Source organism: Homo sapiens (assembly GCF_000001405.40).
Source record: "Homo sapiens chromosome 15 unlocalized genomic scaffold, GRCh38.p14 Primary Assembly HSCHR15_RANDOM_CTG1".
Lineage (NCBI taxonomy): Eukaryota > Metazoa > Chordata > Mammalia > Primates > Hominidae > Homo > Homo sapiens.
The window spans coordinates 185,421-205,049 of NT_187382.1; the positions used below are offsets into that span (position 1 = coordinate 185,421).

At 34.7% G+C, this 19,629-nt stretch overlaps 1 long non-coding RNA gene across 1 annotated transcript in view; it reads right to left on the bottom strand.

The window, feature by feature from the left end:
• Positions 1-9,132: 9,132 nt before the first annotated feature.
• Positions 9,133-19,629, bottom strand: part of LOC105369218 (uncharacterized) — a 28,164-nt gene continuing 17,667 nt past the window's right edge. The window contains exon 4 of the long non-coding RNA XR_007068539.1: positions 9,133-9,213. This is a non-coding gene — a long non-coding RNA (uncharacterized LOC105369218). The remainder of the gene's footprint in view (positions 9,214-19,629) is intronic.

Consider the following 19,629-nt stretch of genomic DNA (forward strand, 5'->3'; position numbering starts at 1 on the left):
GTCTCTTTGTAGTCTGTATAATTCTGGGGTTGCTTTTTTATTTCTGCAAAAATAAACTGAGAATTTGGAAAGGACTGTATTGAATCTGTAGACCACTTTATGTAGTCTGGACATCTTCATAATATTAAGTATTCCCACCCTTGAAGAAAAGCATGTTCGAGGGTGTATTGTTTAACTCCCGTATATTTGTGAATGTTTCATTTTCTATTTTATTCAATTTTGGTTATAAAGAATAAGCAGTAATATTTCAATTTAAAAAAAGGTGTTAAGACTTGTTTCATGGCCTAACGTCTTCTATCAAGAATATTTTCTGAAATATTGAAAACATTGTGTATTTTGTTGGATGAGGTGTTCTCTACGCATGTTGAATTTGATTTTTATAGTGTATTCAAGTCTTCTGTTCACTGTGTATTTCTTGCTTCAATGTCATCAATGTTTGCTTTATAAACTGGAAACCCTGATGTATGATATAGATGTATAACTGGAAACCCTGATGTGTGATGTAGATGTAGATACAGGTATAAGCACACACACAGGAATCCACACACAAACAACATATACAATTTTTATAGGTTTCCAATGAATGAACCTTTGTATTATTTAATGTCTTTTTTATCCTGTAGTTTTGAATTAAATTTTATAAAATATGATAATGATTGACTTAAAGTCTTTTGTCACAGTGACTACTTCTGCTCTCATTTGGCTAACATTTGCATGGAATATCTTTTTCCATCCTGCTTTTAGTCTATCTTTGTGATTGGATCCAGTGATTCTCTTGTACACAGAATATAGTTGATGCTGTTAATACAATTTTTAGAATCTCTTCATGAAATATGTCTTTTGATTGGGAAAGTTAGTCCATTAATATTTTTAAAGTATTCTGAAATGGAACTTACTATTATTATATTAATCATTGTTTTATTATTGTAGCCATTTTGTTCCTTTTTCATCTTTCTTGCTGTCTCACTGATTTCTCTGGTGATATGGTCTGATTTCTTTCTCAATTTCTATGTTGTATTTCTCTAATATTTGTGGTTATCATGAAGATTACAAAAATCTTCTTAAAATTACAATATATTTTGAATTGGTAAGATATTCAGATGCTTAGTTTTTTTCAGTATGTCTGCTCTCAACTTTGTAAGTCACAAATTATATTGTCATATTGTGTTTATAACTACTTTCATGTTTTTGTCTATCAAATTTTGAAAATAGAATTGTTTTCTGTATTATAATTTTAATACAATTTCCTGTTATGTGCATGTCTTTATTAGAGAGTTATATGTTTTTTATATAATGTAGGTTTTTTCTAGAATTTTATTTTCAGTGGAAGAGACACCCCTAAGCATTTTCAGTAAGGCAGATATACTAGTGATGTACTTTTACTGCATTTTGTTACTTTGGAATTTTTTTTGAAGAATTTTCCTAGTTATAGTATTCTTGCTTTGAAAGTTTTTGTTTCAGCACTTTGACTATATCACTTAACTTTTTTTCTGGCCTGCAAGGACTGTGTTGATAAATCCACTGCAAATCTCAATGAAGCATGCTATAGATGACACAACAGGTTTATCTTACTGCTTGCTTCCAAGATTCCTTTTGCCTACGACTTTTAAAATTTTGCTTATAATCTGTCTTGTTATGAGTAACTTTGTGTTTATCTTAGCCAAAGTAATTTAAGCTTCTTGATATTTTACAAGTATTTTGTTTGAGAATTTCTGTCTTTATGACTTACTGTAGTCTTCAGCTCCATAATTTTTGAAGGTTTTTATAATTTTTTGTGATATTCTCATTTTGCTGCTTTCATTCAGTTGTCTATGTTCCCATTTCATACACTGAGCATCATTTAGATGGTTATTTTGAATATTTTCAAGTAATTTGTATATCTCAATTTTTTAGGGTTCATATCTGGAAATTTATTGTGTTTTTTTGGCCATGTTACTCTGGTACTCTGTTGTCATCTTTCATTGTGATTTGAGCATTAACAGAAAGCTGTCACAGTCTTTATAAAGTGGTTTGGAGTCTGACACCAATTGACCAGGCTAGAGATTCTGGAGGTTTCTAAAGCCTGTTCTCAGGCTGTGTCTACTCTGGGATTGTGTGTTTATTTTCTTTCTTCAGAAAGAAGTCAGAAGTTTACTTCTATAAGCATCATGCTGCATTGGAGAGGAAGAAGGGCTGTGGTGGGTAAATGCAACAAATTTTCCTTCCTCTACTATTTGGCTTTTGGCATTCTGCTTGCCTGGGGTGCTGCAAACTCTTGATTTTTAAACTTATCACAATGGAATTTTGTTCAGGATATTTTTGTTAAGTGTATATGTATATGAAGAAATTAGGGCCTATGATTTTTATTGTGTCATTTTGCTAATGTGCTTGACATAACTTTATACATTAGGTTTCTAACACGTACTCACCTGAATCTAATAAGTGAGGTAATTTATTTTCCCTTTTCCCAGATGTGTATTCTCATTTTATGGAAGACATGTTGCCAGAGTAAAGCACAATATATTCATCTTGAAATGTAATACTGAGAAGATATGGAAGTTATGGAAGTTGTGGCCTTCAGAATTGACACTTACGGAGAGACTAGAACAGCGTGGGTGAGTTGTGAGGGGCAGGAAGCATGTCTTAATGGACTTAACCAATTTTCGTCAACTATTCACAGTAAAATCTTTCAATGTACAAAATTTAATAATCTGATAAACAATAAACAAAATATTTGAATAGGCATTTTTCATAAGACGTACAAAGGGCAGACAGGCATACGAAAAGGTGCTCAACATTTTTGATCATCAGACAAATGCAAATCAAAACTACAATGAGATATTACGTGACTCAGTTAAATGGCTTATATCCAAAAGGTAGGCAGTAACAAATGCTGGAGAGAAGTGGAGAAAGGGAGCCCTTGTATGCTGTTGACAGGAATGTAACATTTTGAAAATTCTTCAAAACAACTAAAAATAAAGCTACCATATAATTCAGGAATGCCACTCCTGAGGATTCACTTACTAGAAAGGAAATCCATACATTGAAGAGATATCTACCCTCCCATGTTTGTTACAGCAGTGTGCTCCAGCCAATATTTGGAAGTAACCTGATGTCCATCAAGAAATGACTGGATAAAGAAAACATGGCACATATACACAATGGAATACTATTTAGCCATAAAAAATAAGATCCTATTATTTGCAACAACATTGATGGAACCATAGATTAAGTGAAATAAGCCAGGCACAGAAAAACAAACTTTCCATGTTCTCACTTATTTGTCGGAGCTAAAAATCAAAACAATATAACTCATGTAGGTAGAGGTAGTTGCCAGAGGCTGGGAAGGGCAGTGGGGAATGTAGGGGACGGTAGGGATGGTTAATGAGTACAAAAAAAAAGAAAGAATTAATAAGACCTAGTGTTTGATAGTACATCTGGGTGACTATAGTCAATAATAATTTTAATTGTACATTTTATAATAACGAAAAAAGTAAAATTAGATTGGTTGTAACACAAAGAATAAATGCCTGAGGGGATGATGGATACCCCATTTTCCATGATGTGATTATTTCTTTCTATGCCTGTATTAAAGTATCTCATATATCACATCAATATATCTCCAACTAAGTACCCACAAAAATAAAAAATTTAAACCAATTCAAAATGCCAGAATTTCTATACATGAACTATAAACTACCTGAAAAAGTCAAGTAAACAATTTTATTTATAATAACTACAAAAAGTTTACTCATAAATGTAACCAAAATGGTGAAAGATTTCTATATTAAAATTAAAAAACACTGAGTAGAAAAACTTTCTAAATCACAAATAAATGGAAAGATATTTCTGGTTCATTGATTGGCAGAATTAATACTGTTAAAATGTCTACACTGAGCAAAACAATCTACAGATTCAAAGCAGTCTCTTATCTGTATACAAATGAAATTATTTAGAATATTTCAAAAATTCTAAAGTTCATATGGCATCACAAAAACACTAAACAGCAACAGAAATTAAGCACAAATAATACAGCTGGAAGCATTACACTACCTTTGAAATACACTACAAAGCTTTAGGAATTGATACAGTATGATAACTGGTTTAAAAAGAGAAACATAGGTGAATAAAGCAGAATGCAGAGCCCAGAAACAAATTCATAAAATTTCAGGATCTTACACAAAGGTGACAAGAACACACAGTGGGGAAAGGACAGTTACTTCAAAAGTGGTGTTATGAAAACTGAGTATCTCCAGGCAGAACAATGAAATGAGACCCTCCACCAACATAAATCAAAGACTCAAAACTCTGGAACTGCTACAAAAAACAGAGTGAAAGCTCCATGACATTGGTGGGGACAATAATTTTTTCTTATTTATTTCACCTCAAAATCCCAGCAAACAAAAGTGGAAGTAGACAAATGAGATTACTTGAAAACTGAAAAGCTTCTACACAGCACTAGGTACAACCAACAGAAGAAAAATAACGTATAAATAAGAGAAAATATTTATGAGTTATATATCTGACAAAGGGTTACTATCCAAAATAGACAGGAAACTCAAACAACTATAGAACAATAAACAAGTAACTATTAAAATGGGTGAAAGATGTAAATAAACATTTCTTAAAGGAAGACATACAAATGGTAAAAAATATATGAAAAAAATGCGAGGTAAATTATCATAAGGCTAATCTAAGGTTAAGGCTAATCTAAGGTTAGGACTAATCTAAACCTCTATTAGATAACAACTCACTACTGTTAGAATGACTATTAATAAAAAGCCAAAAAAATAATTATTGGCAAAGATGTGGAGCAAAGGGAATGCTTGCGCACTGAATGTAAATCAGCGTAGCCATTATACAAAACAGTATGGAGATTTCTCAAACATTAAAAGCTGAACTATCATATGATACAGCAATATCATTATTGGGCACATATCAAAAAAATCAAGTATGTGAAAGAGACATCTGTGCTGTTATGTTTATTGCAGCACTATTCACAATAGCCAAGATATAAAATCAAACTCAGGGTTTATTATCAAATAAAATGATAAAGAACATGTGGCATACATCCATTCTGTACGAATGGATTATTATTCAGCCTTAAAATAGAAAATACTGTCATTTTCAATTACATGGATGAACATGAAGGAGATTATGTTAATTGAAATAATCCAGACACAGAAAGACAAATACCTCATGATTTTGCTCATATGTGGAATTTTAAAAAATTGATCGCATTGAAGTAGAGACTAAAATAGTGGAACGAGAGGCTAAGATATTTTGGAAGGGGATTGGGTAGATGTCTTTCAAAGAATATATAATTAGTTAGATTAAAGGAATAAGTTAAAAAAATCTGTTGTAAAGCCTGGTGACTATAGTTAATGATGACATACTGTTATGTTTTAAAAATACTGATATAGTCAATGTTAAGTGTTCTCCATCACAAAAATGATAACTATATGAGGTAAAGCACTTGTTAATTAGCCAGAATTTAATATTACACAATGTATGCATGCTTTAAACCACATTTTACATGACAATACATATAATTTTATCTGTCAATTTAAAAAATGTAGAAACATGAAAAGGTAGTGTTTCAAATAATCAGTCTGTGTCTTATTCATAAGCTTAGCAGAGTAGTATCAAAATATATAGTTTTTGTGATGTTTTTGTCATTTCATTTGTCAGTCATAAGCATAGAAACTCAGATATTTACCAGCATGTGCAAGAACCAGCACAGTGCCTGGGAGAATCCTATGTACTTTAGAGCTTTTACTTTGAGCTCCAGGTACCTGGAATTCCTGGTATAGAAGACACTAAAAAGGCAGGTGCTGCTAATGGTTTCGCCTCTGGCCCTTCTGTAAACACTGAAAACAAGTTTGCTTCCAAAATCACTGAGAAAATGTTTTAATCCAAAAGCCTGCCATTGTCTTTGAGATTTCTCTAAAGAGAATGACCTAGAATTTGGCTGTAATTAGGTGTCTGAGAATAAAAACTGTGGACTGTAACTGTGCCCATTCAAATAAAAGAAGTTATAATAATATGAGTGAGAAATTTCCCAAGATGGCAATACGAATCCGCAAAAAAGATTATTCCAAATTTTAAACCCACAAAGGTTATTTTATTTTTGTCCAAAACTTATTATACCCACTCAACAACAGAAGATTCTGCATGGAAACATAAGCGGTGGGATAAATATTTCATAGAAATTTGAATTTAAAATATTTTACTTACCACTAACTCTCCTTAATACAATTTTATTTCTAAGACATGTCTCTAATGGGATATCCAAATTTTGATTTGTTTTCTTATGTAGCACTAATAATACATGGCCCACTGGTATTAATACTTCACTTAGTCTAATTTGATATTTACCATTCTTTGTGTTATAATATAATAATGTTTAACAATGCTATCTGTCCAACGATCTAATCCATGGATACTGCGTTATCTTATCTAAATTAAGTGACAAGAATGTTGCATTTGTAATCTATAAATGACCTCAAATTCTCCAGCTACAAAGAATTTTTAGGCACATTAAAAATAATTCTAACTTGTCCTCAGAACCTGCAGAGTACTGTGTGAAATAACATGGGGTGGGGAGAACAGTGAGCAAGATGTTGCCATAAGACAGGCAAAGAAAGAGAAGGGCTGTAATGCATATGTATTTGGGGGTGAAGATAAAAAGACAGTGAAAGAAAAACTGAAGATAATTAGAAAATAAAAGAAGCAGAATTTATCTGTCTAAATTTAGAGTTAGTTGTGCAGCCTGACTACAGATTTCCTCTCTCACCATGCAAAACCAACGCCACTTCTTCACTCTGGGTGTTTTTAATCTCTTATATGAAGATACAAACTCACTCGAGCAGAAATATTTCCTGATAATTGTAAAGCATTTGTTACACACCTAGCACCGTCTTGTGTTTGTTTACTTCATACAAATGGCAAGAAAATCCCATGGCTTATGAAGCCTCCTGAGTTTTTACCTTAAAAGCATGGCTCAATAAATTCAATAATTATATCAAATATGTCTACTATAAAACATGAAAGAAACAGTAATAAAAACATTTTGCTTAAATAGAATTCTCTAATTGAAAAGATTAAATATACTAATTAAATAATAAAATTTAACAATATACTCACTGCAAAATTACTCAGATCTTCAAATTATTTAGTTAGCACCATTACATTTTACCGAAAGAGCTATAATCATTAGGCAGGTCACATAAAGAATACTTCATGAACTTTGAAAGAAGAAAATTGTATATTAGGTCTAGCATGAATAGAAGGCAAGCTAGAACAAAGGGTTTGGATGGGGAGATTCTGAACCACAAGATTTTAGAGATGAATGGAAAGCAGAGGAAATAAATTTGCTTTCAGAATCTGTGAGGTTTTAGTTTGCTAGTATATCATAAACACTCATGAAATCATCTGCTTTGTTCTGATATATTTTCCTACTCAGAATAGGTCCACACTCACATAAAAACAATTACTTCTCCAATTCTTTTATATCTGAAGTTTATCTTTAGAGTAATATATTTAGAAATTTTACACCATGTAAATTAAAACTAAAATTTTGTGTTTGTAGAACCAGAGATAACATGTTCAAAAAAATGTAGGCTGAATTTTCTAAATAGTTATTCAGAATTCAGAAATGTAGGGCTTTTGATTATACTCCTATATAATCTTCAGTATAACCATCACAATAACTTCACAGTTACAAAATAAATAAAAATGTAACACGTGGGAACAATATTCTCTAAATTATTTGAAGTATAAGGCCACTGGGAAAAAGAATCACTACAGATGTTATTCCACCATATTACTTAATGGTATAGTCTTACCATGTTTTACCTACAAGCCTGAGTAAGGTAGAATAAGTTAATGTTGACAGCAGGATGACACTTCAATCAATGCACAAGACCCTTAACATATTAAAAATATTTTTTATTTGTTAAAACAAATAAAGTTTACAAATAATCTGAGACATATCAAAATCCACTCTATTTTATTAGTTTTATGTGCATTTGGTGAAACAATTTTCTTCTAAATTTTACAGTGTTTATTAATAAAATGCAGAGGATATGCACTGAACACCTACCTCATGCATCGCTTACAACACTGTTATCACTTAACCACAAACAGCCTCTCCACTTAGATTTTCTTCATGTATCTTACATTTCCAGGTCCTTAATCTTTTATGGAGAAGTATATAAATGATGACCACCTAATACAGAAGGACCGCTCAGAGCTGTAATGCATCAAACATTGACCACATGCTTCCATATAAACATTAGGAATAAAGGCAAAGCACTAAGTTATTCGAAAGTTTAATTATATCAATACTTGCTATTCAAAACATTTAAAATTATTTTAATGCAAATAATTACACTCAATATAATTTTAAATCTTCAAGAAGCAATCTCCTACTACTTTTATCCTACATACAAATAAATTATCCAATTATTTTAACTTTGGATTATTCTCTATAATGAACACTCTGAATAATTTAACTCATGACAGGATTCATACAATTAACCTTTTAAACATTTGTCTTATAGTTTACATCACATTGATTACCCTTTTATCAGATCTCAGTAGCACCAAAAACCTGACAATGGTATAGACACTGCCCACTAGCCTCTAGACACCACGGTCATATGCCCATGGCAACGTTGAGGAGGTTGAGATGATGAAGTCCATCTTGTACATGCCCACCGAGAAACTCACCGGCAGCAGGATGTGCTGATGGCTCTTGCCTCTGCAAAGATCCTTAGGTAGAGGCTGGGGCTGTGAAGGTACCAGGATCTCCTGTAGTTCCTGAATGAGAGTCATCATGTAGACACTTGAGAACAGCATTATCTGTTTAAGAAAAACATCTCTGAATAATGACAGAGTGAAAAACAGTCCTCTGATTATGGAGTTTATTGGGAAAAGTGAACAGTATTTACTGACATGCAAATTGATCTGGGTCACATTGGAAGAAGCCACAGTGTAAAAGATCAGGCTACTACTAACAGGAAAACTGAGAGACCATGAGAACAAATGGAAGGTAAAAATTGTGGATTTCCATTTAAACCTCACCAACCAGGAAATGCTGGGGCTGATGTTGACGACCTGCAGCATGTCCAGGAGGCAGGTGGTACAAATGGAGAGGACCCTGATCACCCTCCTCAGGTAGAAAGATGCCTCATATTTGAAGTCATTCTGAAAATTCAGTGATTCAAAGAGCTGTGGAGACAAGAACACCATGGTGAGAAGGACCACCATGTGGATGAGGGCCACATGACAGACTGGTAGGTAAGTGCGCTCTGGCCTGAGATCCAGAAAAAGCAGAAAAGGAGAAGACGCAGAAAAGAAGGAGAAAAGTGTTGGCTGAGATGCCAATACCAGCTTAGAAATGAAAGGCATTTTTCATGGGAACACAAGTGCAAAGTAATCATCTGAATTACAAAGACAAACATACTTTGTACATCAAAATATGAAGTATAAAAAACATTTTGTACTTCACATCATCTGTATTATATATTCTATGGCCAAAATTATCATAAACATTATTTTTATTCCACTAATTTTTTTCTTAATTAATCCTATCATATAAATCCTTGATATATATAGTGTATGTGTGCATGTATGTATATATAATTTGATATATAATGTTGAGAATGTATTTTGAAGAATGTATATGAAAAACTGGCTCACTTTTTACAAAGCATTTCTTAATGAAGAGTGATGGTTACATAACAATAACTCACATGTTTGTATAGTTGAGCTAAAGTAAATTTTATGTTAAGGGAAAATAATCACCTAAAGAAAAAGTTGAAAAAAAAGTTTAACTGACTCACATCACAGTACTCAGTTTCTCTTATTATTTCTTTCACTTTTAAGAATGCTTATAATTACATTAGGCCCAAATCTGTAATTCAAGTTAATGTTTTTGTTTTAGAGTCAGCTGGTTATCAACCTTGATTTCATCTGCAGCCTGAATTCCCATTTCTCATATACCATAATACATGCCTAGAACCTGGTGGTTAGACATGGGGACCTTTGCATGGCATTATTCCACTTACCACAAGTCCTATTAAACGAATCCCTTAAAATAATTCTGGCTCTGTTCAAGTTTTGTTTTTATCCCAGAGAAATCTCATGAAAGCTTTATTTCATCTCAGGTGGAAATTGCTAAAATCCAGTTTTCAATGCTACAAGTACATGGACTACCTTTTTCTACTTTATGGGATCCATGAATTTGCATTAAGTGATAATTTTCTTGATGCTTCACTTTATACAGAGATACCCTTCCATGGAAAGATGCCTTTCCAAGCCTTGGAAAAACACCAAGGTCACTAATAGTAAAGATAATTCTCCATCTCTTAATCATGATATCTCTGTATGAGAACCCTTCATAAAATTTTATTGAATAATTCTGCAATTACTTTCTTCTTTGCCCTGAATACAGTCATCACTATTGTATCCAACTAATTCAGCCCGCAGCTTAGAATAATAGAGCTCTGGCTCATGCCTATAATTCCACCGCTTTGAGAGGCTGAGGCAGGGACATTGCTTCAGATAAACAGTTTGAAATTAGCTTGAGCAACACAGTGACACCCTGTGTCTATCAAAAATAAGAAAGAAATTAGCTAGGCATGGTGGCACGTACCTGTGGTCCCAGTTACATGGGAAGCTGACATGGAAGGATCACTTGAGCATAGGATCTTGAGGCTATAGTGAGCCAGTGAGTTGTGATGGTACTAATGCACAAACCACAAATATAAATGTGCAAGGCAATGAAGATGATTTGACAGTATTTTTTACCTCATACTCAGAAATTAACATCTGAGTTAGAAAACTGCTAACCAATTTTAAACCACCTGATATGGATGAGTTTACAAAAAGGAAATTGCATAGTTTATATATCAGTTTTTATTTTTTCTCCCAACACATAATCTAGTATAAGTACACATTTATCTCAATGTCCAGAACCAAACAATGGATAGTTGCCACCAAAATATACTGATGCCATCAACATGATATGGTTCTTTTGTCATGTTAAACCTAAAAGAAGCTCCAGGATAGTATCAGATTAAAGCCATAATAATCTCCATATATTAAATACTGCAGTCTAGTTCCAGAAAATAAACATGGACAATTAATATACAAATAACTACTTACTACTTATGTAGAAATCACTTTTACTAAATATACTGTATGTATTAAAAGTTATATCACAGAAAGAGGTAATACAATTAGATAAAACAACATACGTAAGAATTCTATTTTTTTCTCCCCATAAGGTATCCAGATCACACACTTTAATTCATGCCACACCCTCTCTAATGACTACTACATACCGCAAAAGAATGTATCTGCTAATTATCAAACTTTATTTTTCTCTAATGAAGGTTTTCAGGTCATTAATGCTGAGTCTGGAGAAAAGAACAGTGGCTCCCATGAACAAGGGTTGACAAATGTAACACACTTGGTTATATTTGAATTTCAGGTAAATGATGAATTGTTATTTGTATATACTCCAGTAGTTGCTTACACATATTATACACAGATATAAAAACATTGCATAGCTATACTAAAAAGTTATTTGTTGTTTACCCCAAATTTAAATGTAACTTATGTTTTCTCTATTTTATGTCACAAATCTGCCACAACTACCATAGAACTATTGTATAATTTGGGACAACATGTTACAAACATGGGAAAACAGAATAAAAGAAAAAATATCAAAGGTTTTATAAAGGCTGAGTGCTGTGACTTATGCCTGTAATTTAAGCATTTTAGGAGGCAGCAGTGGGAGGACTGAGCCCAAGAGTTTGAGACCTGCCTGGGCAACATAATGAGAACCAATCTTCACAAAAAAAATTCAAAAATTAGCCAGGCATTGTACCACCTGCCTGTAGCTCTGGCTACTTGTGAGGCTGAGGCAGCAAGTTCACTTGAGCCTACACGGTCAAGGCTTCTGAGACCCCTGATCAAACCACTGCACTCATTCCTGGGTGTCAGAGTGTGAACTTGTCTCAAAAAAACATCAAAACATGAGATGCAGCAAACTACTGAGAGAAATTCACAGCAGTAAACACCTACATTAAAAATAAACAATTCTAAATTAATAACCTAATGTTTGGCAAAAATAGTTAAGGGCTAATTAACTACTCATCACACCTTGGAGAAAGAATATCAGTGCGGCAAGCAAAAGTCATGTAGAATATCTAAGAGAAAAGACTGAGGAGTGAGGTGCCTGGGGGATTCGGGCTTTGAAAATTATCCACATATTCCTGAGAATCCAGAAGCCCATAAGCATGTTCAGGGTCAATCAAGGGACAGGCAAATGCTCACAAAGACCTACGAAGCTGTTATCTCTCATGTCTGCTTTACCTCCAAGCACTGCACAAGCAGGAAGAAAAGAAAACAGCAAAGTTGTAATCTTTCTGGCTAAGTAAACCCAACTGCAAGAACTAGTAGATTTATATTTGATGTGAGCAGGCATTTGAGAAAATCTCTGTCAAATAACTAGCTCACATGAAGCTAATAAAGCAGAGATTTTTATTGCTAAACACGACAAAAGGATGATATTTTAAAAATAATTTTGAAAACTCACCAAACAAACAAGTAAAATTTACAATAAGCAACAAAAAAACCCAACGGGATGAGAGAGAATATTATTTCAGGGTTGTTGTGATAGAAAAAGTCTAGTTTTCAGCAACAGCAATGAAATACAAAGCGTGCAAATAAATTAATGAAAAAATAATGGCCCACTAATAAGATAACAGATATTAACAGAAACAGTCCTAGAGGAATCGTAGGCATTGAAAAATCTAGAAAAAGTCTTTAAATTACCTGTCTTAAATGTGCTGCAAAGATAAATAACATCAAAAGGAAAAACATTTCAGAAGAATAGTGTCTCATCAAATAGAAAATATTAATAGAGATAGAGATTATAAACTGAAGCCAAACTCTAAAGTTGAAAATTAAGATAACTAAAATAAAAAATTCACCACAAAGGTTCAACAAAAGATTTAAGTAGACGAAAGACACAACCAGCAAGCTTGAGGTCACTTCAATTCGTATTATCCCAACTAGCAGAAATAAAAAATAATGAATAAAGATGAACAGAGCCTAAGATAACAATGGGATACTATAAAATGTGCCATTACAAGCATTATGAAAACTCCCGAAAGAAGGGAGAAAGATAAAATGGGGCAGAAAGAACATCTGAAGAAATAATGGCTAAAAAGTTCCCAAGCATGATGAAATACGTGAATCTACACATTCCAAAATCTCATTGAATTCATAGTATAAACTCAAAGAACTCTACACCAAGACAAATTACAATAAAACTTTCAAAAGCTAAAGAGACAACTTTGAAGAAAGTTATGGAGAAAAGACTACTATTTGCAATGCATCTACACTGACATTAACAACTCACTAAAAACTAGAGTCCAGAATATAATTTCTCACTAAAAACTACGGAGTCCAGAATATGATAGGACAATATATTTAAAGTGTAGAAAGAAAAAAAAAAAGCCAACAAAGAACTCTATTTTCAGCAAAACTGCTCTTCAAAGATGAAGGACATCCTTGAAGACCTTTGAAGACACTAAGAGCTATATAGATTAAAACAAATTTAACAGCTTGTCACTAGTAGACCTGGTATGCATTAAATGACAAAGGTTATCTTTTGGGTTGAAATGAAATGACAAACTAGGTAATAATGCAAGGCCATATGAAAAAATAAAGAATGCCAGTAAAAATGAGTACATGGCAAAATATAAATGCCACTATTAAAGAATATTTTGTAACTTTTATCTATTGTTCTTTTTTACATGTAATTTAAAATACTAATGCATAAAATAATTATAAATTTTTGTTAATGTCATACAATGCATAAAGATGTAATATGTGACAAAACAACATAACATTGGAGGAGCAGATCTCTATTGAAACAGCTTTTAAAATAAAACTGAATTACGAGCGGTATTAATTTAAAGTACAGTTACACAGTGATGAGATTAATTGTCATCCTTAAGGTAGCCACTAAAAACACAACTAAAGAAAGAAGTGAAAGAGGAAATGAGAAGAGAATCAAAACTGTTTTGGAAAAATACTAGAACATTAAAGATGTCAGTAATATAAGAGTTAATTAACAAAAATATACAAGACTTTAGAAAACAACTAGAAAAATGGCAGAAGTGTGCCCTTCCTTATAAATAGTTTAAATAGAAATTAACATCTACAATTACAATGCAAAGATTGGCAGATGGTTTAAAAATAAACAAAAACATGAACTAACTTTATGTTATCTACAGGAGAATCTCTTTAGTCCTAAGCTCACAAATAGGTTGAAAGTGAAAGGATGGGTAAAAAGATTCCACACAAATAGTAAGCAAAATAAGCTGGGGTGGTTACCCTTAGACAAGATAGGCATTAAGACAACATTGCTATAATTAATTGACACAGGAAATTTTATGTTAAAAAATTATAAATCTATCAAGAAGATAAAATAGTTTTAAATATGCATGTACCTAACAAAGACCCCAATATATGAAGCACAAATGGCAGAATGGTAGAAGTAGAAAATTCTCAATGTGAACTGCTGACTTTAATATACCAACTAGACCTAACGGACGAATTCAGAAACACCTAATCAAAAACCTTGAAATGAGCAAAAATTGATTGCATTTTCAGATTGTTTTCAAGCAAGCAATTTAACCACCTTGCTATTTTATGGCATGCTTATTTTTTTAAAAAAAGTTATGATGAAATATGCATAACATCATACTCAATACAAAGTTTCTGGTATATTTATAATTATGCAACTATAGCCATGGTATAACTTTAAAATATTTCCACTATCAGGACTAGACAATCATTACTGATTTCCCTTTTATGGACATTCCATTTTATCACCTTTATTGTTTGGTTTGGTTTCGTTTTTGAGATGGAGTCTCTGTCATGCAGGCTTGAGTGCAGTGGTGCGATCTCAGCTCACTGCAACCTCTGCCTGCCTCGCGGGTTCAATAGATTCTCCTGACTCAGCTTCCTGAGTACCTGGGATTACAGGCGCCCACCACTGCACCTGGCTAATTTTGTTTTTAGTAGAGACATGGTTTCACCATGTTGGCCAGGCTGCTCTCGAACTCCTAACCTCAGGCAATCCACCTGCCTCAGCCTCCCAAAGTGCTAGAATTAAACGTGTGAGCCACCATGCCTGGTCCATTTTTATTACCTCTTTATTATTGTGGTATGATTACTATTTTGTATAAATGGAATGATACACTGTATTATGTTTTGTGTCTGGTTTATTTCACTTAATGCATGTGAGGTCAGTTATGTCATTTTTTTTTTTTTTACTAATTTTTTGTATATTTTAGAAAATGCATTTAGAAGAGAATAAAAAACTTTTAAAATAACTTCCATATTTCTCAATGTTGTGCATTTTTTTCAAAAAATAAGCAAATATTTTATTTTTTTGGTTTCTTTGAGACAGATCTTATTCTATCACCATGGCTGGAGTGAAGTAACATGATCATGGCTTACTGCAGATTCTACCTCCTAGGCTCAAGTAGTCTTCCCACCTCAGGCTACCAAGTATCTGGGACCACAGCTGCACACCACCATGCCCAACTAATTTTTAAATTTTGTGTATAGATGGGGTCTCATTATGTTGCATGGGCTTGTCTCAAACTCCTGCGCTCATGAGATTCTCCTGCCTAGGCCTCCCAAAGGGCTGGGATTACAGGTGTGAGCCACCACACCCAGCCTATTTTTTTCTAAAGACAGGGTCTCATTCTGTCCTCAGCTCAAGTGCTGTGGCGTAATCATAGCTGAAGGCAGCCTCAATGTACTGAGCTCAAGTGATCCTCCCTCACTGACCCAAAGTGCTGGGATTACAGGCATCAGCCACCATGTCCAGCCTGAAATAATATTTTAATTAAATATTAAGAAAAATAGAAGAAATAAGATCTAGTGTTTTGTAACACAATAGGACAACTATAGTTAACTGTAATTTATTGTATAAAAGATAGAATTGTTGAGTAAGGTGTGAGCACCAGTTTAGGGTTTTGGCACATTCTTTACACTTGAAGAGTTTCTATCTGGTATGAATTATTTGATGTTGAGTATGGGTTGAGTGTCTGTTAAAAGCTTTGCCACATTCTTCACATTTGAAAGGTTTCTTTCCAGTATGAATTCTCTGATATTGAGAAAGGTGTGAGCTCCTGGTAAAAGCTTTGCCACATTCTTTACATTTGAAGAATTTCTCTCCAGTGTAGATTCTCTGATGTTGAGTAAGGTGTGAGCCCTAGATAAAAGCTTTGCTGCATTCTTTACATTTGAAAGACTTCTCTCCAGTGTGGATTCTCTGATGTCGAGTAAGGTGTGAGCCCCTGTTAAAGGCTTTGCCACATTCTTTATGTGTGAAGTGTTTCTCTCCAGTATGTATTCTCTGATGTTGAGTAAGGTGTGAAGCTCTGTTAAAAGCTTTGCCACATTTTTTGACACTTGAAAGGTTTCCCTCCAGTGTGAATTCTCTGATGCTGAGTAATGTATGAGCTTCTATTAAAGGCTTTGCCACATTCTTTACATTTGAAGGCTTTCTCTCCAGTATGGATTCTCTGATGTTAAGTAAGGTATGAGCCTCTGTTAAAAGCTTTGCCACAGTCCTTACACTTGATAGGTTTGTTTCCAGTATGGATTCTCTGATGTTGAGCAAGGTGTGAGCTCTTCTTAAAGGCTTTGTCACATTTTTCACATTTGTAAGGTTTCTCTCCAGTATGAATTTTCTGATGTCCAAGTTGTAAGCCCCTGGTAAAAGCTTTGCCACGTTCTTTACATTTTACTGATTTCTCTCCAGTGTTAATTATCTTATGTCTCTTCAGATGTGACTGACTAAAGACTATTATACATTTTTTATTACATCTTTGTGAGCTCTCTCCAATATAAGTTCTTCGATGTTGAGTAAGTTTTGAGGATGGGTTAGAAGTTTCACCACATTCATTAGGGTTGTAAGGCTTTTCTTGAATATGGATACTTTGAGGATTGATAAAACACTTTCTCACATTCATTACATTTGTAATAGTTTTCTAGAAAATGAGTATTCTGATGTTTACTAATATTTGAGTCATGGCTAAAATTTATCTGATTTTTATTACAAAAGACAGATTCCAAAAATTGATGTTGATATTTACTCACAGGAATACATGGTTCTGTAGGAGTAGCTGGCAGAAACTGAGGCTTCTTCAGAAATATTCTATGTTCTTCATCTCCTTTCACAGTTAAATTTTTGTTATGAGAAGTTGTCAAATATTGGCTACATAAATTATAACATTCTTTTTGTCCTTCACCTATACTTTCCCAGTTTTTCCATAAGCATAAATTTTCAAGGCCACAGCTCTCATATCTTCCCAGTGTTGCTTTTCCTAGTGTTGCTTTTTTGAATGACTCTTCTATGCCTTGCTCTGGTAAAATGCCTTGGTTGTAATAAGAATATATAGCTCAAAGTAGTAAAAATAACTAATTATTCTACATACTGAATTTAGCTGAATATACTTTACAAATCTAATATGAAATTTTACCAAGCTGAGAACATGAGCACAATGCCATAGTAGAAAACCAACAGAGGACAGAGCAAGATGGCTAAATAGAAGGCTCCAGTGATCATTTCCCCTGGAAGGACACCAATATAACAACTATCTATTAAAAAACAAACAAAAACCTTCATAAGAATAAAGGCGAGCACTCACAGTACCTGGTTTTAACCCTGCAGTACACAAAGAGGCACTAAAACAGGGTAGGAAAGACAGTCTTGAATCACTAATGCCACTCCTCACTCATGCCCTGGCAGTAGTCACATGCTATGTAGACAGAATCTGTACACTTGGGAGAGGGAGAGCACTGGGATTGTGAGCATTGAACTCAGTGCTGCCCTATCATAGCAGAAAGCAAAACTGGAATGAACTCAGCTGATGCCTGCCCACAGAGGGTGTGTTTCAACTGGCCCTGGACAGAGGGGAATCACCCTCCCAGTGATTGGAACTTGAGTTCTGGCAAGCTTCACCACCATAGTCTAAAATGCTCTGGGGCCCTAAAGAAACTTAAAACAGTCTAGGTCACAAGGACAGCAACTCCCAGGTGTCATGCTGAACTGGGCTTAGAGCCAGTGGACTTGGGGGCCACATTACCTACTAAGATACAAGCTGGGGCAGCTAAGAGAGTTCTTATACCACCCCTCCTCCAAACTGAGGCTGCACAGCTCACAGATTCAAGAGACCACTTCCATCTACTTAAGAAGACAGAAAGAGTAAACAGGACTTTGTCTTGTATTTTGGATACCAGCAAGGCCACCAGTCAGAGTTATAAAACACCCTTCTCAGCCACTAGCTCCTAATTAAAATTTCTAGGTACATACTGGACTATAAGGAAATCTGCTGCCTTGAATGAAGAAATCCGGTACTAACAAGACCCATCAACTGCTAAGTAAAGGGCCCTTGGCCTGGAATAACCTGCAGTGATAACCAGGTAGTTTGCTGTGAGCTTTCATTGAGACTCTGAGGCTTGCTAGAATCAGGTGAGACTCGGCACATTCACAACTGTGGTGGCTACAGGGAGACACTGAAAAAGGTAGAGGAAAAACTAGAGAACTTCATCTTGCAACTTAGGTCCCAGCATGGCCAAAGAGAGGAAGAGCACCAGTGGGCTCTTGGGGTCCCTTATTCCAGGTCTTGGCACTTGGATGGCACTTCTGGACCTGTACTGGGACAGAAGGGACACCACTGACCAAAAGGATGAGTACCAGGCCAAGCATCATTCACTATAAGTGAACTAAAGAGCCTTGAACCTTAAGAGAACATTGGTGGAAGCCTGGCAGTATTCCCGATGGGCCTGTGGTGATGGCAGCAATAGGATGAGGCCCCTCTGCCTGTTGAGTAAGGAGGGAAAAATGGGAAGAACCGAATTTCATGGTTTAATTGCTAGCTCTACCACAGTACAATAGAACACAAAGTAGACTCCTAAGGTTATTGACTCCAGCCCCTGGCTCCTGGATGGCACCACTGGGCTTGCCCAGAACCTGAGGGAACTCACTACTCTGAAGGAAAGGATACAAACCTGGCTGGCTTACCACCTACAGATTATAAAGCCCCAAGACCTTGAGCAATTACTGGTGGTACCAGGTAGGGTTACAGCTCACCATGGGTGTGATCAAGTGCTGTGCTGGTTTCAGGTCTGACCCACTGCAGTCCTACTGATAGCAACAGAAGACAAACTCCTAGGCAGACAGGGATGGGTGCACTGGTGAAACTCGACCTTCAAGGAAACAACAGTCTAAAAAGCCTGAAAACTGAGCTACCAGTTCCAGAAAGAATTCATGGACTAGAGTGAGAACTTCCATCCCTGTCTAACCTGCTCTCTATTGGTTCTTTGAGAATGATGCCTTTTAACCAATTGAATGGTGTCTTTTCCAAGCCCACCCATGAACCAATCAGCATGCATTCTCCTGTTTTAAACCCATAAAAATCCCAGACTCAGCCTCACAGATGGCTACCTACTTTCAGGTTCCCTCTTGCTGCTGATAGCAAGACCAGAAAACAAAGAACAAAATGGCAAGAGTAAGTCTTTATATAATCAATAACAACACTGAAT